General features: G+C 37.2%; 1 long non-coding RNA gene across 2 annotated transcripts in view; it reads right to left on the reverse strand.

The window, feature by feature from the left end:
* The window catches only part of LOC105371308 (uncharacterized), a 512336-nt gene that overhangs the window by 21345 nt on the left and 467692 nt on the right, over positions 1-23299 (reverse strand). The window contains exon 5 of one of the 2 annotated variants that reach the window (XR_007065221.1): positions 18444-19842. The exons of the other annotated variant lie outside the window; for it this stretch is intronic. This is a non-coding gene — a long non-coding RNA (uncharacterized LOC105371308). Of the gene's footprint in view, positions 1-18443; positions 19843-23299 lie in introns of those variants that run through there. 2 annotated transcript variants of the gene reach the window in all.

The following is a 23299-nucleotide window of genomic DNA, read 5'->3' on the forward strand; positions in this document are numbered from 1 at the left end:
ACAAATAAAACTGCAGGAGAAATAGACAAATTTACCACTTGTTGCCATATATTTCAACATCTTTCTCTATAGTTAATAAAAAAAAAAAAAGCTTATTCAAGCATTGAATGACACTATCAACAATATTTATGAAATTCACATGTATAGAGTGTTCCACCTAACAACAGTAGAATAGATACTAGAAGTGCATGCAGACATTTATGAAAATAGGCTACATCCTATTCTATAAAATAACAGTAAGTTTAAGGATTCAAATAAAACAAAACATAATATCTGACAGCAACAAAATTAAATACATTTTTAAAAAAGAAATACACACAGATAACTATCTGGGGAATCTCAAAACATTTGAAAACTAAATGCCAAATGTTTTTTAAAAAGTCAAAAAAGAAATGAAAAATTGCAAAGTATTTTGAACTAAATGAACATGAAAACAAAATAGGGCCGGGCGCGGTGGCTCACGCCTGTAATCCCAGCACTTTGGAAGGCCGAGGCAGGCAGATCATGAGGTCAGGAAATCGAGACCATACCGGCTAACGCAGTGAAATCCCGTCTCTACTAAAAATACAAAAAATTAGCCGGGCATGGTGGCAGGTACCTGTAGTCCCAGCTACTCGGGAGGCTGAGGCAGGAGAATGGTGTGAACCCGGGGGCAGAGCATGCAGTGAGCTAAGATCGCGTCACTGTACTCCAGCCTGGGTAAAAGAGTGAGACTCCGCCTCAAAAAAAAAAAAAAACCCAAAATATGTATATATACACATATATATATGTATATATGAGATTTTAGCAAAAACTACTTAAATAAAACTTCTTTAGTTAGAAAAGACAAAGATCTGAAACAAATGACTTAAAACACTAAAAAACAAAAAAAACCCTTTAAATCCAAAATAAAGGAAGTAATAAATATATAAGTGCAAATCACGGAAATAGAAATCAAAAAAATAAGAAAATTAATAAAATCAAAAGCTGGTTATTTAAGATCAGTAATATGGATAAACCTCTAACCAGTTGCATGATTATACAAAAAACAATTGAACTTCTATATAATAAAGATCATAAATAAATCCTAAAAATTTTATGTACAATGTAATTGAAACATAAAAAGGTATGACAAATATGATAAAAACATGCAAAACACAATCACAAAATCAAACATAAAATAGCTGGAAAGATTTAGAGAAATTTAAATAAATTGAGAAATATACTATGCTCATGGAACAGAAGACTCAAGATTATTAAGATGTTGATTTTCCCAAATATTTTTATAAATTCATTGCAATCACAGTCAAAATGTCGTCAGGCACTTTTTGGTAGAAATAAGTCAATTCAATATATATATATATAGAGAGAGAAATGCAAATAAAGTAAAATTGTCTAAACAAAATTGAAAAAAGAACAAAGTTGAGGCAGTAGCCCTAATTGATTTCAACATATATTGAAAAGCAACAGTAATTTATGATGCTAATAACAGTGTTTCATTTTAATGCAAACAACATTATGCAAATAACAGTATGTTATTTTGCATTAAAATTTAACAAATGGGTCAAAGGTAAAAAATAGAGTCCAGATATAAACCTATATTTATATGGTCAACCGACTTTGGAGAAAGGTGTAAATACATTTCAGTGGGAAGATAATACTTTTTTCTGAAAATTGTGCTGGGGTAATTGGAAAGCCACATGCAACTTTAATTTATAGTGGGTGTCTTATACACTAATTAACTAAAAATTGAAACATTTAGAGGTATACGTAAAACCGTAAAACTAACAGAAGAGTAAATTTAGGCTATGCATAGTGGTTTATGCCTGTAATTCCCACAGTTTGAGCACTTTAGGAGGCCAAGGAGAGAGAACCACTTGAGCCCAGGAGTTCAAGACTAGCCTGAACAACAACAACAACAAAAAGTGGGGGGGAACCCTGTCTCTATTTCAAAAAAAAAAAATAGCTAAGTTTTCTGGGTGTATTAGTCCCTTCTGCTGCTATGAAGAAAAATACCCGAGTAATTTATAGAGGAAATTTATAGAGGAAAGAAGTTTAATTGATAGAGGTGATTGATAGAGGTAAGAGGTTTAATTGACTCACAGTTCTGCATGGCCGGGGAGGCCTCAGGAAACTTACAATCAAAGCAGAAGTGGAAGCAAACACGTCCTTTACATGGCGGCAGGACAGAGGAGTGCTAAGTGAAGCGGCGAAAAGCCCCTTATAAAACCATCAGATCGGCCAGGCGCGGTGGCTCACGCCTGTAATCCCAGCACTTTGGGAGGCCGAGGTAGGCAGATCACGAGGTCAGGAGATTGAGACAAGCCTGGCCAACATGGCGAAACCGCGTCTCTATTAAAAGTACAAAAATTAGCCGGGCGTGGTGGCGCGTGACTGTAATCCCAGCTACTCCAGAGTCTGAGGCAGCGAGAGGTGACAGCGTGCTGGCAGCCTCGCTTGCTCTCGGCGCCTCCTCGGCCTCGGCGCCCACTCTGGCCACGCTTGAAGAGCCCTTCAGCCTGCTGCTGCACTGTGGGAGCCCGTTCCTGGGCTGGCAGAGGCCGGAGCCGGCTCCCTCAGCTTGCAGGGAGGTGTGGAGGGAAAGGCGTGGTCGGGAACTGGGTCTGCATGTGGCGCTTGTGGGCCAGCGCGAGTTCCGGGTGGGCGTGGGCTCGGCGGGCCCCACACTGGGAGCCGCCAGCCAGCACCGCGGGCCCCAGGCAGTGAGGGGCTTAGCACTTGGGCCAGCAGCTGCGGAGGGTGCACCGGGTCCCCCAGCAGTGCCGGCCCGCTGGCGCTGCGCTGGAATTCTCGCAGGGCCTCAGCTGCCTCCCTGCCCAGCAGGGCTCAGGACCTGCAGCCCGCCATGCCTAAGCCTCCACACTATGGTGGGCTCCTGCACTGCCCGAGCCTCCCGGACGAGCGCCGCCCCCTGCTCCGCAGCTGCCGGTCCCATCTACCGCCCAAGGGCTGAGGAGTGCGGACATACTGTATGGGACTGGCGGGCAGCTCCACCTGCAGTCCCCCTGCGGGATCCAGTAAGTGAAGCCAGCTGGGTTCCTGAGTCTAGTGGGGACTTGGAGAACCTTAATGTCTAGTTAAGGGATTGTACATACACCAATCAGCACTCTGTGTCTAGTTCAAGGTTTGTAAATGCACCAATCAGCACCCTGTGTCTGGCTCAAGGTTTGTAAATGCACCAGTCAGTGCTCTGTGTCTACCTAATCTAGTGGGGACTTGCAGAACTTTTGTGTCTAGCTCAGGGATTATAAATGCACCAATCAGCACCCTGTCAAAACTGACTGATCAGCTCTCTGTTAAACAGACCAATCAGCTCTCTGTAAAATGGGCCAATCTATAGGATGTGGGTGGGGTCAGATAAGGGAATAAAAACAGGCTGCCTGAGCCAGCAGTAGCAACTCCCTTGGGTTACCTTCCACATCATGGAGGCTTTGTTCTTTCACTCTTTGCAACAAATCTTGCTGCTGCTCACTCTTTGGGTCCACACTGCCTTTATGAGCTGTAATACTCACTGCGAAGGTCTGCAGCTTCACTCCTGAGGCCAGCAAGACCATGAACCTGCCAGGAGGAATGAACAACTCCAGACGGGAGGAATGAACAACTCCAGATGAACTGCCTTAAGAGCTGTAACACTCACCGCAAAGGTCTGCAGCTTCACTCCTGAAGCCAGGGAGACCATGAACCCACCAGAAGGAAGAAACTCCGAATACGTCCAAACATCAGAAGGAACAAACTCCGGACACACCATCTTTAAGAACTGTAACACTCACCATGAGGGTCTGTGGCTTCACTCTTGAAGTAAGTGAGACCAAGAACCCACCAACTCTGGACACAGCAGGAGAATCTCTTGAACCAGGGAGTTGGAGGTTGCATTGCAGTGAGCTGAGATCGTGCCACTGCACTCCAGCCTGGCTACAGAGCAAAACTCCGTCTAAACAAACAAACAAAAAAACCATGCGATCTCATGAAAACTCAATATCATGTTAACAGTATGGGAGAACCACCCCCCTGATTGTATCACCTCTCATGAGGTCCCTACCCCAATATGTGGTGATTACAATTCAGGCTGAGATGTTGGGTGGGGACACAGCCAAACCATATCACTGGGTGTGCACCTGTGGTTCCAGCTACTTGGGAGGCTGAGATAGAAGGATTGCTTCAGCCCAGGAAATCAAGGCTTCAGTGAGCTATGATCATGCCACCGCACTCCAGCCTGGTCAACAGAGTGAGACCATATTTCAAAAAACTTCATTTTGGAGCAAATATTTTAGAATTTTGATGAAATAAGATTTCTTAGATGCAACAAGAAAAATACTATCCACAAAAGAATAACTTAATAAATTGGGTTTTATCAAAATTAAAAACTTCTGTTTGCAAAGCATTATTCAGCATTATTCTAAGCACTGTTAATAGAATGAGAAAACAAGTCATAGAATGTGAGGAATTATTTTTAAAACATATATACAATAAAGGACTTGTATCTAAAATATATAAGAAATTCTCAAAATTCAACAATAAAGAACCACAAAATCCAATTAAAAACTGGTAAGTTATTTGAACAGACACTTGACCAAATAAGAGGTGTAATGACAAATGAGCCCATGAAAAGCCCATCATTAGTCATTAGGAAAATACAAACTAAAAATATGATGTCATACTATTTCACTCCTAATAGGATGGCTAAAATGTAAAAGAGTGACGGTAGCAAGTTTGGGAAGATGTAAAGAAACTGGAAGTCTCATACACTGGTGGTAAAGATGTAAAATTGTGCAATTATTTGAAAATAATTCAGCATTCCCCAAAAGTTAAACATGTTTCTACCATACGATGTAGCCACTGCACTCCTATCTAATTATCTCCCCTGCAAATGAAAACATATGCTTATTCAAAGATTGTGCATGAATGTTCATGGAAACTTTATATGTAATAATTTCTAGCTGGAAACAGCCCATATGTTCAAGATCACATGAATGGATGAATGAATAGTGGTCCATCCATACAGTGGAATGACATAAAAGGAATCGATGATTAATATATAAATCTGGATTAATCTAAAAATAATCATGCTGACTAAAAAACACTAACAAAAACTAGAAAATACATTGTATATAATTATATTTATATAAGAATTACAAAATAAATTTATTTTGTAGCGATAGGTGATTATACATGGGCATGAGAAAACTTTTGGAAATGATATGTGATGATTTTATAGATGTATACATGCCACAATTTATCAAACTATAACCTTTAAATTTATATATTTTAATGTTTCTCATTTATAGCTCAATAAAAATGTTAATGTTAACAATACGTTTAGCTGCATAAAGACAAAACCAACTGCAAAAACAGGAATAGCAAAAATAGTATACTTAAAAGTTGATGGCTCTGAACCTTAAATTCCCATCAAATTAGTTGTATAACCCTGGTGATGTCACTCATTTATTTTCAATACAGTTTGTTAAGACTCTTTAGGTGATTTGTCCTGTAGAGTCCTTTATTTTGCAGAAGAGGAAAGGAGAGTTTAGGAGAGAGTTACCGGCTGAAATTATTTTTATCCTCTCAAATATTTTAAACTATTAAATGTCTTTATCAGCTATTAAGTATGATTACATAAAATGTTAAATAGAAGATGTTTGGGCTACCATGTTTGCTGACTTAATTACCACCATACTAATCTCCAGAAAAGTATAATAATTTTTTAGAAGTCTTCCAAATCACTGATTAAGACTCATCTTTCCTAAACAGTACAAAGGACTGGTGATGATTGAATGATCATAGACACCCCAAATTCCTCCTACCTATGTAAGGCAGACTTGAGTGGTTTTCTTAAACCTAGGCCTCACTCCAGTTTCTAACTGGCACTGTATTGATTCAGCCACAATTTCACCAAGTCTTAGATTGGGTTTTCTTCAAAGAATAAAAACTGTGTACCAATACCCAAAGTTGCTCTGTGCATGCATTACTATTTAATATTTGTAGGATAGTCCTCTCTGTTAAACCCAGCTGGCTATCTTGCATCTGTCCCCTTTTCCATAGAGAGTGTATTTGTGTGTGTGTGTGTGTATGTGTGAGAGAGAGAGATACAACACTGATCTGAAGAGGGATTTAATGTAATATGTGGGGAGTAGAACTTATGAAAAGTAATTCATTTGTGGCAATGAAAGAATTCCTCTCTTAGAGCTTATGGCAAAGCACTTTGAAATATTAAGTACATTGTTAGAGGGCACATAAACAAAATTAAAACACAGACATAAAAAAGATTACAACACTGGGCTAAATGGAATGAGAATAGAAAAAAAATCTTAAAATTAGGAATGTGCTATGCTAAGTATATCACATGATTCTAAGATAATTAGAATTGCACATTACACTGGAGGTATTTGTTTTCTATAAAACTGTCCGCAATAGCTCATTTCAAAGCATTATGAACATATATTTCCCTTCTAAACCTGCCTATCTATTAAGCATACAAGTAATGAATTGAAAATCTACACATATGGGAAACCTTTTAATTATACACAGTAATACAAACATGAAACCAGAGAATGGATTTTAAGAATCCATTTAGAAATAACATGTCTACCTTTTCAAAGTGAAACTGTGAGGTTATGTATTTTCCTGAGAGAGCTCCTTTCTCATTGGTTTAATAGTAATGGTGTTTCACTTTTTGTGTCTTAAGCCTTTCTTTTGATGAAAAGAATTCCCATACATTTTTCAAGTATTCTCCTATTTAAAGGATAGTCATAATGTTTACAGTTATCTATCCTATATTAGGTAGGCATTTCACAATAGAAATAATAAATTATGTTTCAGTTTTACTGCTGATATAATAACTATCTTTTTTGGAAGAAGTTTGGTCTGTGTATTTTTTTTTTTTTTTTTAGAGGGAGTCTCACTCTGTCACCAGGCTGGAGTCACAGTGGCGTGATCTCAGCTCACTGCAACCTCTACCTCCCAGGTTCAAGCGATTATCCTGCCTCAGCCTACCAAGTAGCTGGGACTACAGGTGCCTGCTGCCATGCCCAGCTAATTATTTTTTGTATTTTTAGTAGAGACAGGGTTTCACCATGTTGGCCAGGATGGTCTCGATCTCCTGACCTCGTGATCTGCCCACCTTGGCCCCCAAAGTGCTGGGATTACAGGAGTGAGCCACCACGCCCAGTCTGGTGTGTTTTGTTTGTTTGGTTTTGTTTTATTTTGCAAAATGGCTCTAGGAAATAATAGAAAATACAAAATTGTACTTGGAGAAATTAAACAGGGCTCCCGACAATTTGAGAAAATATATGCAGTGGGAATTCTATATATTTGTAAATCAATATTAATAACATAACCTATACATACTCATTAAAAAACGAGAGGCATTTAGAAATAGACATATTCCTCCCTGAATTATTTGCTTCATAGCATCAGTTCTGTATTCCTGTTCCAGTGCCTTTAAAATATCCTAAAACTCTCCCCTTTTTTTTTGTAACCAATTAGATAGTATGTATAAATAAATCCATCATCTGAGAAACATGTAAATAGGTACAACAAAATATATATATTATATATACACATATATATGTATATATGTGTAAACAAATGCCCCAAAACTATAATTTATAATAGAAAAATGTAAGATTGAAGGGTGGGATAGGGTTAATGGTAATGAGAAGCAGACCTCATGAGATTTTGCTAGACATAGATTTCTATCAAAGTAAATTTTGGTATCTTGAAATATCTACTTAGTAATGTTTTGATTAAATACATGAGATCTGGGGTTATAGGTGGGCCATGAAACAGGAACATCTGTACCATATATTTAAGTGGAAACTGAGTTTCACATTACATATGGAAGTAAAGGTTGTGTTTTTAAAAAAATAGGGGACTCACAAATATGCAATATTAAACTTGAATATTTCACCTTCTTACAAGGAGTTTGCCTACATTAAGATGGAGTACAGAAGAAAAGAGAGGTTACAAGGTACACTGATGAACTATGTGAAATAACGTTAGTCAGATATTGGTCAACAGGCAGCACAGAATGATGTCGGCTGGGGAAAGATAATGTAAAGAAAAAAGAGACCTATAATAACATGAATTTACTGAACAGAGATAATTTCCAGGCTAAGCCAGGGTAGTCAAACCAAACAGAGCACAGCAGTTTTGTTGAGTAAAAAAGACAGAGTTTGGACTGTGAAAAAGCCATGTCAGCTAGAAATTGAGGAGCAAACACAAGAGAAACTTCTTAGAGAGCTCCAGAGACTGCAGTGTCGTCTCCTTGAATTCTACCCTAAGCATTTTTCTGCACATGCATGGGAAGTACCTAAGACTTGAGAAAGAAACATCAGAAACTAATAAACAAAACAATCTGCAGAGTTTACACAGGTTTAGTAAAGTTGATGCTTCTACTAGTCCAAGTAGAAAGATCCCTTAATGCAGGGAGCAATGGGTATAATCTTCAGAAAAGCCAGGCATTTGAGACCAGCCTGGTCCAACGTGGTGAAACCCTGTCTCTACTAAAAACACAAATATTAGCCAGGCGCAGTGGCAGGCGCCTATAATCCCAGCTACTTGGGAGGCTGAGGCAGGAGAATTGCTTGAGCTCGGGTGTTGGAGGTTGCGGTGAGCCGAGATCGCGTAACTGCAATCCAGCCTTTGTGACAGAGCAAGACTCCGTCTCAAAAAAAAAAAAAAAAAAAAAAAAAGACAAGAAAAGAAAAGCATCAATAGTAAAGTCATGTTATCTTACCTGTACTACACTAACAAAATTAGAGGTAAGACTTCAAAAAATGTAAACTGAATCCAAATAATATAAACACACCAAGGAACAAACACCAGCAATATTTAAAGAAATATGGCAAAATCCAGAAAACAAATGTAAGCAGCAGGAAAACAAAACTCGTAACAAGGAAATGTAATAGTCAATAGAAACAGACCAAATATGATAGAGATAAGTAAACCTGCAGACCAGCATATTAAAACATGAATATTTATGTAAATATTATGAATATTTTCTATATGTTCAAACAGATAGATGAAAACATGGACAGCAATCCAAATAGAGCTTCTAAAAATGGAAAATATATTATTTGCAATGAAAACCATATAGTATGAAATTACCAGCAGATTAGATAATGTAGAACAAAAGTGTAGAGGACTTAAAAGACAGATAACAATAGGAACTATTCAAATGAATGAATGAGAAAAAAAGTGAGCATGGTTTTAGTGAGTGGCAGAAAAACATGGAGTGGACAGACATATATGTAAATAGAATTCTAAGAAAAGAGAAAATGAGGCAGAAAATATATTTGAAGATACAGTGACCAAATTTTTTATTTTTCCAAATTTGTTAAGAATTAATCCCCATACCCAAGATACTTAATAAACCTTGAACAGAAGAGACATGAAGAAAACCACAGGAAAATATATTATAGTCAATTTCTATAACATCCCAAGACACCAACAAAACATTAATAAATAATAGTCTTGAGGCCGGTGCAGTGGCTCATGTCTGTAATCCCAGCACTTTTGAGAGGCTGAGGCAGGTAGATTGCCTGAGCCCAGGAGTTCTAGGTCAGCCTGGGCAACATGGAAAAACTCTATCCTCTACAAAAAACACAAAAATTAACCGGTGTGGTGGCGCATGTCTGTAGTCCCAGCTATTAGGGAGGCTGATGTGGGAGGATTGCTTGAGCCTGAGAGGTTGAGGCTGCAGTGAGCTGTGATCTGGCCACTGCACTCCAGCCTGGGTGACAGAGTGAGATCCTGTCTCAAAAAAATAAATAAATAAAAGAGAAATTAAAGAAATAAATAAAGAATAACCTTAAAAGCCCACAGTAGCAAAAATAAATATCACATACATAGGAAGAAATAAAGAACAGCAGATTTGCCACTAAAAACCATGCAAGCCAGTATGCAATGGAGTGACATTTTAAAAATAGTAAGATATTTTTATCTAAAAAGATTCTGTCAAAAATAAACAGGAAATATATATTCTTCAGAATATAAATGCTGAGAAAATTTATGATCATAAGACCAATATTATTTTAAAAACACTAATGGAAGTCCTATTTTAAAGAAGAAAAACATATACTATATGGAAATTTAAATGTATCATGATTAAATAAGTGCTCAGAATAAAAAGTAGATAGACTAAAGATTGTCCTCAGGAGAGAAATTGAGATAAAATTTGCGAGGTGTTTATGTAGCAGTAAACGTCTTGAATGATATGAAAAAGGGTTTGAACTGTGAATACCATGATCATGGAATCCTGTAATCAACCTTTTGGGTAAAATATATAAGTATTTTTTTCCCATGGACATATTTCAATTCACATGTAACTTAAGTATTTCTGAGTGCATATTATCTTACTTACAGTAAATCTCAGTCTTTGCAAAGAAGAATTTTATATTGGGACACAGATAAAGATACATATCCACCTTTCCTGTTCTTTCTTCTAATTTCTGTCGCACACTCAAAAAGAATATATTTTGCTCAGCTTGTATAGAAGAGAGGATAAATAGAATTACAGGACAAAATACAAGTGAAGAAAACATTGGCAATATAACTAACAGTTAAGAAATGGAGGGAAGGTCTAAGTGAGAGGAATTATAAGTTGCTATGGTTTGAATGTGTTCCCCCAAGTTCATGTGTTCGAAACAACATATTTGTAAAATAAAAAGGAATTAAAAGAAGAAGAAAAAAATTCCTAAATCATTCCAGGAATGGTACTATTTTGATATGCTCTCAAGAATCCAGCATTTTAGGCATGTTTATATAATTGTGAACATTTGATATACAACATTTTATTTTCTGGCTTCTCTTTAAAATTATTGTATCATAGATTTTGAAGTTAATTTATATAATGTATACATATTATGAAGTATTGGATTATATTACATTCAGTTAATACTTCATCATTTGATTAGCTAATTCTTTTTATTTTACTAATTTGTTCTCCTGGTCATTTACATTTCTCTTAAGAGTGAATATAAATGATTAAAACATAAATATATGAGTACAAAGAGGAGGAGTGTGTACATCTTCAGTAAATATCTGCTCATCATTCATTTTACAAGTTAGTTAGATTTTTATCTCCTTGGAAGGCAGAGAACAGACCAAGAGGTGTGAGGAATAACACTGGTCAATTTTTATGGAAGGGAGAAGAAATACATTGTAATAAGCTCCTTCACCTCTTAAGAAGCCTTAGCTATGCTCCTCTTGTGACTTTTTATAGCAGAGGTTTAAATAGATCCAGTCCAATCTTTAGAAGCCCAGCAAGACATTCTCCTTTGTTACCGGTGTTCTGGGATGTTCTCTTCAAATATCTGAACTATAGACTCATCATGAGTCACTATTAGAATTGAATCCTTTTCCTTTCTTCTCCTTCATTTCTTTCTTAGGGATCTAGGTAACTGCACCAAAATGGATCCTCACTGCTCGTTGACAGACCAACTGAGTGCTTTCCACATTTGTAAGATCTGGAATATTCTTCTTTCCATTGTGCTTCTTCCCATCTATATCCAGTCCCATCTTATTGAAGACACCACTTCCGATCATTGCTGCACTCTATCCTGACCTTCTCTTGGATAATCTATTCTGCCACGATGTAGGGTATCTGCTCAAAATTGGCATTTAATGGGGTTGATGGGAAAAACAAGCAAAAGTCAGAAGGCTTTGCAATGAATTAATCAGAGATCTGCAACAATAATATTAAAGTAAGCATGAGAAAGTCAGAGAGAGAGAGAGAAATCTTTACATCATAATAACTAACAGATTCTTATATCATCTAACAGGATCTTATTTAACAGATTCTTTTAACATCATAAAAACTAACAGATGAACCAGTGTGATAGTTTTCAACAGATCTGTGGTAGATACACTAGTTGATCATAATCAGTTTTTGTGTGTCACATTTAATTTGATGTTTATGATATACTTTTGTCTTCATTAGAACAGATCATTAAACACGCTATTTTTGTTTTCATTCTCTTGAATTCCCTTATTTATTTATTTATGCCTAATAAAGAATCAAGGAGAAATTTCAGAGCCCAAATTTCGCCTCCGAGATGCTGAGCAGAATGTTATGCATGTCAATGGCTTTGATTAAGACGGTTGCTGATAAATTAACCTTCCTGATCAAAACCTGTTGATCACAAGCTTTTTTTTTTCTATTGAAGAAAAAACTGTCTCACAAGGAAATGGACTTTTCCAAGGTCACACAAGCAACTTAAGTTCTTATTTTTTTTCTCCTAGCTTTTTGAAGTCTCTTTACTCCCCCTTCATGCCACATTATTGGGATCTAATTCAGAACATTCTGTATAAAGACGGGCATTTCAAACCCATGGCAATCCCCTCTGTGCCTTTCTTTCTATAAAATTATTAAATGATTATATCTTCATTTCTTTCAAAGAGCAAAATCATTGCTCTTTTCCAGGGTCTTTTCATTTATTCTTGATGTGTCTTTTGTAGCTTCCATTAGCTTTTCCAGATGCTGCAAACATGAGAAAACTTTGCAAATAGTTCACATTAATGATGAGCCATCGGTGCTTTTCAGCTACTTTTAAGAATAATATCCTTTAGTGTGATTTTCAGCTACTTTTAAGAGTAATATTCTTTGGAAACAGAGACTTCAACTTCCAATAGTGAGCAATTGGAGGTTACAAGATCCATAAGTGAATATTATAATGTATTTTTCAAAAATCACATCAAAAAAATTCTCAACATCTGATTAACCTAAGTATTTAATTAGTTTTGAAAATATGATAGAGAAAAATAGTTAACACATGGAATTTTCTGACAGATAATCTATTAACTACAGAAATTTTTATTGATGCCCCTATAGCTATGGATGATGAACCATTTACCAAATCTAAAGTCTATATGACTTCACAGGAGCAGATGGCAAACAGTGTCTCGGTTGAGATAATTTCTGCTTCCCTAACAAAATTTATTTTATTAAAAAAGATAATTATTTAGGATTCTGCTGTAGCATTTTAAGATTTTAAACAAGATTAAGAAATATGCTTATTTTAGGCTGTGAATATGGCTTGCTATTTCAGGCACACTGTATTATTTTAATTATAATTCAGCACCAAACATAAAATAATATAGTTTAGATAAGGAAAACCAAGGTGATTTTCAGAAATTAGTGTCTTGTCTCTTACTAGTTGCTAAGCAAGTTAGTTGGCCTGCCTGATGTTCTATTTATTTATTTTTACATGCATAGGAATTAAAAATGTATATAATGATAATATTTTCTGATTTAAATATTTTTATTTTAAACTGATATTCCTAATTGTTTTTAATAGTTAATTTTGTATATTTAAAAAATTATTTGTGGTAACAAATGTAAAAAATACTTATTTTTTATACTTCAATACACTAAGTGAAAATATATTCAGATTCTGTGTACTTGGAATTCAATTACAGTTTGTTTTTTAATCATTTAAATCACTGAATATGATTTGACATTACGGTAGAAATAGAAAATATAAAACTAGAGTTTAAAAACATTTTAAAAATAGAAAATAAAAAATAGATTCAAAAAAATCTTCAAAGTGATGGTCTGCTTATTTTTTTTTCTTTACTGTAGATTCTAGAGGTACATGTGCAGAAGAATATAATGAAAATGTTGCTATACATTTTTCTTCTATGTAGCGAAAATAACACAGTTTTGATATAAGTGGAAAGATAGGACAGAGAATACAAATGGTTTCTGTGAGTGCATTTATGAAATGTACTTAAATGTGTGAAATAAGTTGTGTCTACAGTTCAGATCAATGGCTTAATGGGAGTTGTTGTTTCAATAGGTTCCTGCTAAGAATGGCCTCTTTTAGGAATTGATTTTCAACCTCCACTTATATAGGACTTGAGTGGTCAAATTAAGTGAGAAAGTTCATTCTTGGCATTTGTGGGAAGGTTAGTTATGACTGTTGGTAGGAATTCTTTCTATAGGGAGTGTGACTATGAGAAGAATAACGGGAGGCCAATGAGATTCCCTGTAGAGAATGACACATGGAGGAATCTGCCTTGATATTTCTTAGCAGGAAAAAAGGAATGAGATTAAGTGGTATTGCTGCATCTTTACTATGCCCTGCATACTGTGCTTGACACATTACAAGCACATATCATTTTATTTTTCAAACCACCCATGGTGTAATTAAACAATATTATACACATTATTAATAAACAGTTTGTAGGCACTGTTGTCCAGGCACTATTATCAGAAATAATGCATTCAATACTGACAATATCTCTATGTGATCATCTAATTTAGAGACAAAGAAAAGACGACACAGCGTTAAGAAGCTTTACCAAAGAGATAGAGGTTATAAGTGTGGAACCAGAGTTTGAGCCCAAGAAAGTTGCTTACAGAATATGTGCTCATCACTACAAGCTATAATGCCTCTTCTTTAGGCACTATCATCACCCTTTTAGTAGTGGAACTAAAGTTTATAAAAGTTATGTAGTATGCCCAATGTCACACAACTCATAAGGAGGGAGAGTTGGAATTTGAACTCAAAACTGTCAGCCATTAAGCCTATTTCCTTTTCCCACCATAACTTTGCCTTGTGAATATTGAAAGAGAGTTTCAGTAGCAAGCATTATAAGGATGTGCTGAAGGAGAAAGTCATTTGGAAGTAATCTTCTGAATTTATTTATTTATTTATTCATTCATTTATTTATTTATAAGTAAGGCTGTTATTATTTTATCTTACCATATCCTGCTTTTCAAAGCTTATGACTCTTTGCAACCTCAGATACCATCTCTTGACTGCTAACTTATCATCCATATCCCATCAAGCCAAGTCTCCTCATCTCTGACACTTCCCACCATAGAAAGATCTTCTGCCTTTCATTTTAAGACCCAGCTTTTTGTGTATGTCTTTGTAAACCCATCAGCTGTTATTTAAACCCCTCCCCTCTTACCTAAGACTTACTATTTACCTAAAACTATTATTTAACATGTTAACTAAACATTTATGTATTGAGTTTTCCTATTTTTGTGCCATAGGTTCATGTCTTTTCTTCCTAATTTATTCAGCTATAAGTACAATTCTCACACTCTTTATCTACCTTAAAGTGAAAGATATTGGAAGTATGCTAGCTGGTAGAATAAGGGTTGACTTCGTTTTTAACATGGTTCTAGTGCTTGATTGTCACTCCCCTTTCTTGGAGATAATCAATGTTGATGGTACTCAGAGACAGTCTCCCCATGTTCAGTCATCAGCATTCCTGGACAAAGGCATCCTGAAATCATTTTCAGGAGAAGGCTTATTTGCCTTGTAGGTGACTTTGTTGAAATATAATTGTTACGATCTGAATGTCTGCATTCTTTCCAAATTCCTATAGTGAAACCTAATCACCGATGCAATAGTATTGAGAAGTGACACCTTTAAGGAAGTAATTAGGTCACAAGGGTAGGCCAAGTGAATGGGATTAGTGGCCTTGTAAAAGAAGCTTGAGTGAGCTTGTTTGCCCCTTTAATAATACATGGACACATAGAAACTGCCACTATAAGGAACAAGCCCTCACCAACCCTGAATTTACTGACATCTTGACCTTGGACCTTCCAGCCTCCAAAAGTGTGGGCAATAAATTTCTGTTGTTTTTAAATTACTCAGTTTAAGATAATTTGTTACAGCAGTCCAAACTGACTAAGACAAGAATCATGGGGAAATCCGAACTGACTTATGCACACACAAACACAAATAATAGACATACCCTAAAATAATTCATTTAAAAATACATAAAGAACTTGTATTTTTTATCATGAACCTAACCAGCTAAAAAGTATCTGCCTTCATTTTTTCAAAAATTTAAAAAAATTATGATAAATATCAAGGCATCAGGACCAGTTTATAGTCTGAAGTCAGCAGCATGTACCTTATATGACCTTTAACTTTTCCGTATAGTAAATTGTATATAGTTGATGAGTCATTGATCATGTTTACAGTAAGCTATATGTGTGATCGTTTTAGCAATGGTCAAAATTCAGCATGTTCACACACACACACACCTACATATCAACCCATCCGCCCACTCTGACATGCACACATTTCACCTATTTTTTAGTTGAGGCTATCAGGAACAAAAATAGATGCTTCTCTATTCTCCAGATATTCATTTTGACCATTGATTTTCCCAAGATTACTCATGAGGATTGCGAACATGAAACCAAACACTCAGCTCCGTTAATTGAGCTTTCTTTGGTTCACATCAGTTCTTCGACGTTTTTAATAGGATTGCATTAATGGAATTTTATATAGTTGGAACTGTTCAATACTTTTCTACAAAGACAAGGTGCTTCTGCCTGAAAAGGTGATTACTCTAATTGTGCTATCTATTCTTCTGTAGAATAATGCCATTTTTCCATTTAGGTGGAGTTGACATGTGTCAGGAAGCATCAATCAGCTTCCATATAAACAATCCTAAAGAAAAATTAGTATAGTTAATGTAATACTTCAGAGACATCTGGAAACATACCCATTTTGGAAATTATGGCTTTCATAATATGTTGATATTATATTATTTGTAAGTGCAACGTGTGTGTGTGTGTGTATATGTGTGTGTAAAGACAGAGGAGATTTGCCGGCTGCAGGGGCTCACGCCTGTAATCCCAGCACTTTGGAAAGCTGAGGCAGGCGGATCAACTGAGGTCGGGAGTTCGGGACTAGCCTGACCAACATGGAGAAACCCTGTCTCTACTAAAAAAAATACAAAATTAGCCAGGTGTGGTGGTGCATGACTGAAATCCCAAGTACTTCGGAGGCTGAGGCAGGAGAATCGCTTGAAACCAGGGGGCGGAGGTTGCGGTGAGCCAAGACTGCGTCATTGCACTCCAGCCTGGGCAACAAGAGCAAAACTCCGTCTCAAAAAAAAAAAAAAAAAGAAAAGAGGAGATTAGAGGGCTAGTCAAGTCCTTAACTAATATGCACACTAGTAAAGAAATGATGAAGAAAATTAATTATATGTTTCTTTGGACAGTCCTATTCTTGGCTCTCAAAGGTAGAGCACATTGGGGAAATGGAGTCAGTTTAATAAATAATGCCTTGGCTAGATCTTTCAGAAGAAACTAACAAAGGATGTTTCGGGAGAGAAAGACCAAAGCATGTAATTTCTATAACCACAGGAGATCTTTTCATTAGCCTCCTCTTTGGTTCTTAATAGTTTCCCAGATGCATCTGGGGACTGCTATAATGATTATCTCTGTACAATTGCTCTCTCTCTTTATTGATACATAGAACTTCAATCTGATTGAGTGAAGAGAAAACATTCTATCTAATCTGCATTATGTTATCACAAAGTCATTGCTGAGATAATGTTATGTTAAAATAAAATTGTATTCCAACCCCTTTTTAAGTATTTAAGTTCAGACATTTCAAATGCTACTGAAACCCTACTAATTAACTCCAAGCAACTCTTGCTTACCTGTAAGGATCAGTAAATGCTTAGGAAGAGCCAGCTACTATTGGCACTAATGAAGTATGAAATAGACTAATTTTATCGTGTTTCTTTGCCTATTTTTTCTACCACACAGGAGCAGACATGCAGAAATTGTGTCTCTCAGATACACAAAAATTAGGTAATATTCTCTCTAGTATTTTTCCTTTTCAAATCTCTTGTAACAAAATACAACCAGAAGCAGAAGCACCACAACCACCATCGCTGTCACCATCATCATCATTATCCTACACTTCTGGAGACTTGCCTCATCCAATGGTGTTTCCTTCCATTATGTTCTCTACATTGGTGTTGACTTGCGTTTTTCTCCTAAAACACACCAAGAGTTTCTCTGTATTCTTAAGATGAAAGCCAAACTATCCCATGGCACGCAAAGCCCCAAATAGTCAGACTCTTCCACATTTTTCCAGCGACAGGTGCAGTTTGATCATTGTCTTACTCTGCTTCAGCCATACTTTTTTGTTTTTCCGATTTGTACACCTGTTCCATGCTCTCTTTCTCAGGGGGCCTTCTCACATACTGTTTTTGTCTTTCTGAAAAAATCATAACTAAACTTTTCACCTAAATAAGTTATCTTAATTTTATTTAGACCTTATCTTACTTTTCACTTTCTCAGGTGTTAGTCCAAGCTGCACCATTTTGTAAGGCCCCCACCATTTCACAGACCCTGGTCAGAGTGAAACATTCCACAGGGGTTTGGGCTGTGAGAAACATCTTTCCTAACAACCTGATCACAGCCACAGGAACATCCTTTTTTATTTTTATTTTTATTTGTTTTGAGATGGAGTTTCTCTCTTGTCACCCAGGCTGGAGTGCAATGGCACGATCTCAGCTCATTGCAACCTCCGCCTCCCAGGTTCAAGCAACCCTCCTGCCTCAGTCTCCCAAGTCTCTGGGATTACAGGTGCCTGCCACCATAGCCGGCTAATTTTTGTACTTTTAGTAAACATGGGATTTCACCATGTTGGCCAAGCTGGTCTCCAACTCCTGACCTCAGATGGTCCACCTGCCTCAGCCTTCCTAAGTGTTGGGATTACAGGTGTGAGCCACAGCACCCTGCCAGGAACATCCTTATCATACCCTGCTGGGCAAAGCCCCAGCTGAAAGAACATCCCATCATATCCTGCTTGACACAGGTCCAAGGAACATCTTATCACATCCCACTGGAAAAAGGGCCAAACCATCTGATCATAGGAGCATCTTATCAATATCCTCCCAGGCAGCAAGCCATACCACCCAGACCCCTTCCACCCAGGCCTATAAATTGCTCCAGCCTGTAAGCAGCAGTGGGCTCTGGCATTAAGCTGGTCCCCCACCTCTGCAAGTTTTTGCAATAAGCCTGTATTGCCATAGAGCCACCAACTCTCTCTCTCTGAGACATTTTTTAACCCTTGCCTTCCCCTCTAACATCAGGAATAGTTACCCTTCTTAATATCATTGATATTTGTTGCAGGTCAGCAAACTGAACACTCTTTTATTATTATTGGTTATAACTATTATTGGTTATAACTAGAGTTAATTTTATATTTTATATATTGTTCCCACTACTAGATTGTCACCTTATTATATGCTCTTATGTAATCATATCACTAAATATCCATTATTTCATTAGAATTTTTATGTATTACTTGATACTTTGATTAGTTTGTATCTCTATGTATAAACCCAAGAATACATGGGTAGTTATGCATGCAAAGTTCAGTATTTGGAATGTAATACACTCATAACAAATAATAAAATACTGTAGAGCATTATTGTGTTCCAGGAAATGGCTAAGGTGGTACAAGGTTTATTTAATCTCTGAAACAAACTAGTGGCTTTTTAGGTATCACTGCCTCATTTTACAGTCAGTTGATAAAACGCCATGCCCAAAGTCCAGGAGTAAAGAATATAACCAAAATTCTTTTCCATGTCCACTATTCTAGGAAATATGCAAGTCATCACAATCTCTTCTCTGGCTTTCTCCAATTGACCCTTCCTGTCCAATCTTCCACCCAACCAAATATTCTCCTCACATTAATTCAGTCATATCACACTCTTTCTTAAAACTCTCCAAACCCATCTTTCTTACATTAGATCCCCAAATCCTTAGAATTCTTTTTCAAATAATGTCAGAATAGTCTGTAGCAAACTATTCATCTTGCAGATACACACACACACACACACACACACACACACACACTTAAGACACCAGATAATGGAAAAAAGAAGGAAAAGATTGGAGGTTTGTCAAACTTTGAAAACAAGAAAATGCACTGTCTGATAATTCCACTTACATGCTTCTTGCCTGAGTGTAGTCCAAATTGTTCTGGATGCCTTGAACTCAAGCAGAAAAATCACAGCATTCCTGGATTTCAGACTTAGAGATAAAGTTTGGAGTTGCCAGAGAAACTGGAAAATTAGTGCGAATAACTATATTATTAAATAATAATTTAACAACTAAACAATAACTTCATCTTTAAAAACTTTATTAAGTCTGAATCCACAGATGTGGGAGTCAAAAATATGAAGATAAATACCACTCAAATCCTTGCATAGCACCTGAATTATGCCTGTGCTAGAGGGAAAAAGACAATAAAGCAGACAAAAGATTAGAAGAAATAAAGGCACTACATTTCTCAAATTTGGTAAAAAAGAACCCCATAAACTTAAAAATCAAAAGAGCACAGGAAACACTAAACAGGATAAATACAAGAAGAATACATTTAGACATATTATAGCCAAAATGATGAAAAGCAAGACAAAGATAAATTTTAGAAATAATATATTTTTAATGAATTAATAAATAGTGTAGGAACAATTGGACATCAATGGACAAAATCTAAACTTTAAAACCTTACACATTATACAAAAGTTAATCCAAAATAAATCATGAATTTATTTTCTATTTTATTTTTATTTATTTATATTTCGGCTACAGGGTCTCACTTTGTCACCCAGGCTGGAGTGCAGTGGCACAATCTCAGCTCACAGCAGCCTCTACCTGCTTGGCTCAAGCAATCCTCCTACCTCAGCCCCCAAGTAGCTGGGACCACAGGCATGCGCCACCACACCCAGCTAATTTTTTTGGATCTTTTGTAGAGACAGGGTTTTGCCGTGTTGCCCAGGCCGGTCTCAAACTCCTAGCTGGTCAAGCAATCTCCTGCCTCGGCCTCCCAAAGTCCTAGGATTATAAGCGTGAGCCTCTGCCCCTGGCCTGGATCTACAGCTCCCAGCGTGAGTGACGCAGAAGACGGGTGATTTCTGCATTTCCATCTGAGCTTTGAAGAGAGCAGTGGTTCTCCCAGCACGCAGCTGGAGATCTGAGAAGGGGCAGACTGCCTCCTCAAGTGGGTCCCTGACCCCTGACCCCTGAGCAGCCTAACTGGCAGGTACCCCCCAGTAGGGGCAGACTGACACCTCACACGGCCGGGTACTCCTCTGAGACAAAACTTCCAGAGGAATGATCAGACAGCAGCATTCACGGTTCATGAAAAAACACTGTTCTGCAGACACTGCTGCTGATGCCCAGGAAAACAGGGTCTGGAGTGGACCTCTAGCAAACTCCAACAGACTTGCAGCTGAGGGTCCTGTCTGTTAGAAGGAAAACTAACAAACAGAAAGGACATCCACACCAAAAACCCATCTGTACATCACCATCATCAAAGAGCAAAAGTAGATAAAACCACAAAGATGGGGAAAAAACAGAGCAGAAAAACTGGAAACTCTAAAAAGCAGAGCACTTCTCCTCCTCCAAAGGATCGCAGTTCCTCACCAGCAATGGAACAAAGCTGGATGGAGAATGACTTTGACAAGTTGAGAGAAGGCTTCAGACGATCAAACTACAAGCTACAGGAGGAAATTCAAACCAAAGGCAAAGAAGTTAAAAACTTTGAAAAAAATTTAGACGAATGTATAACTAGAATAACCAATACAGAGAAGTGCTTAAAGGAGCTGATGGAGCTGAAAGCCAAGGCTCGAGAACTATGTGAAGAATGCAGAAGCCTCAGGAGCCGATACGATCAACTGGAAGAAAGGGTATCAGCGATGGAAGATGAAATGAATGAAATGAAGTGAGAAGGGAAGTTTAGAGAAAAAAGAATAAAAAGAAATGAACAAAGCCTCCAAGAAATATGGGACTATGTGAAAAGACCAAATCTATGTCTGATTGGTGTACCTGAAAGTGATGGGGAGAATGGAACCAAGTTGGAAAACAATCTGCAGGATATTATCCAGGAGAACTTCCCCAGTCTAGCAAGGCAGGCCAACATTCAGATTCAGGAAATACAGAGAACGCCACAAAGATACTCCTCGAGAAGAGCAACTCCAAGACACATAATTGTCAGATTCACCAAAGTTGAAATGAAGGAAAAAATGTTAAGGGCAGCCAGAGAGAAAGGTCAGGTTACCCACAAAGGGAAGCCCATCAGACTAACAGAGCATCTCTCGGCAGAAACTCTACAAGCCAGAAGAGAGTGGGGGCCAATATTCAACATTCTTAAAGAAAAGAATTTTCAACCCAGAATTTCATATCCAGCCAAACTAAGCTTCATAAGTGAAGGAGAAATAAAATCCTTTACAGACAAGCAAATGCTGAGAGATTTTGTCACCACCAGGCCTGCCCTAAAAGAGCTCCTGAAGGAAGCACTAAACATGGAAAGGAACAACCAGTACCAGCTGCTGCAAAATCATGCCAAAATGTAAAGACCATTGAGACTAGGAAGAAACTGCATCAGCTAACAAGCAAAATAACCAGCTAACATCATAATGACAGGTTCAAATTCACACATAACAATATTAACTTTCAATGTAAATGGACTGAATGCTCCAATTAAAAGACACAGACTGGCAAATTGGATAAAGAGTCAAGACCCATCAGTGTGCTGTATTCAGGAAACCCATCTCACGTGCAGAGACACACATAGGCTCAAAATAAAAGGATGGAGGAAGATCTACCGAGCAAATGGAAAACAAAAAAAGGCAGGGGTTGCAATCCTAGTCTCTGATAAAACAGACTTTAAACCAACAAAGATCAAAAGAGACAAAGAAGGCCATTACATAATGGTAAAGGGATCAATTCAACAAGAAGAGCTAACTATCCTAAATATATATGCACCCAATACAGGAGCACCCAGATTCATAAAGCAAGTCCTGAGTGACCTACAAAGAGACTTAGACTCCCACACATTAATAATGGGAGGCTTTAACACCCCACTGTCAACATTAGACAGATCAACGAGACAGAAAGTCAACAAGGATACCCAGGAATTGAACTCAGCTCTGCACCAAGCGGACCTAATAGACATCTACAGAACTCTCCACCCCAAATCAACAGAATATACATTTTTTTCAGCACCACACCACACCTATTCCAAAATTGACCACATACTTGGAAGTAAAGCTCTCCTCAGCAAATGTAAAAGAACAGAAATTATAACAAACTATCTCTCAGACCACAGTGCAATCAAACTAGAACTCAGGGTTAAGAAACTCACTCAAAACCGCTCAACTACATGGAAACTGAACAACCTGCTCCTGAATGACTACTGGGTACATAACAAAATGAAGGCAGAAATAAAGATGTTCTTTGAAACCAATGAGAACAAAGATACAACATACCAGAATCTCTGGGACACATTCAAAGCAGTGTGTAGAGGGAAATTTATAGCACTAAATGCCCACAAGAGAAAGCAGGAAAGATCCAAAATTGACAGCCTAACATCACAATTAAAAGAACTAGAAAAGCAAGAGCCAACACATTCAAAAGCTAGCAGAAGGCAAGAAATAACTAAAATCAGAGCAGAACTGAAGGAAATAGAGACACAAAAAACCCTTCAAAAAATTAATGAATCCAGGAGCCGGTTTTTTG

The sequence above is a fragment of the Homo sapiens genome, chromosome 16 (assembly GCF_000001405.40).
Source record: "Homo sapiens chromosome 16, GRCh38.p14 Primary Assembly".
Lineage (NCBI taxonomy): Eukaryota > Metazoa > Chordata > Mammalia > Primates > Hominidae > Homo > Homo sapiens.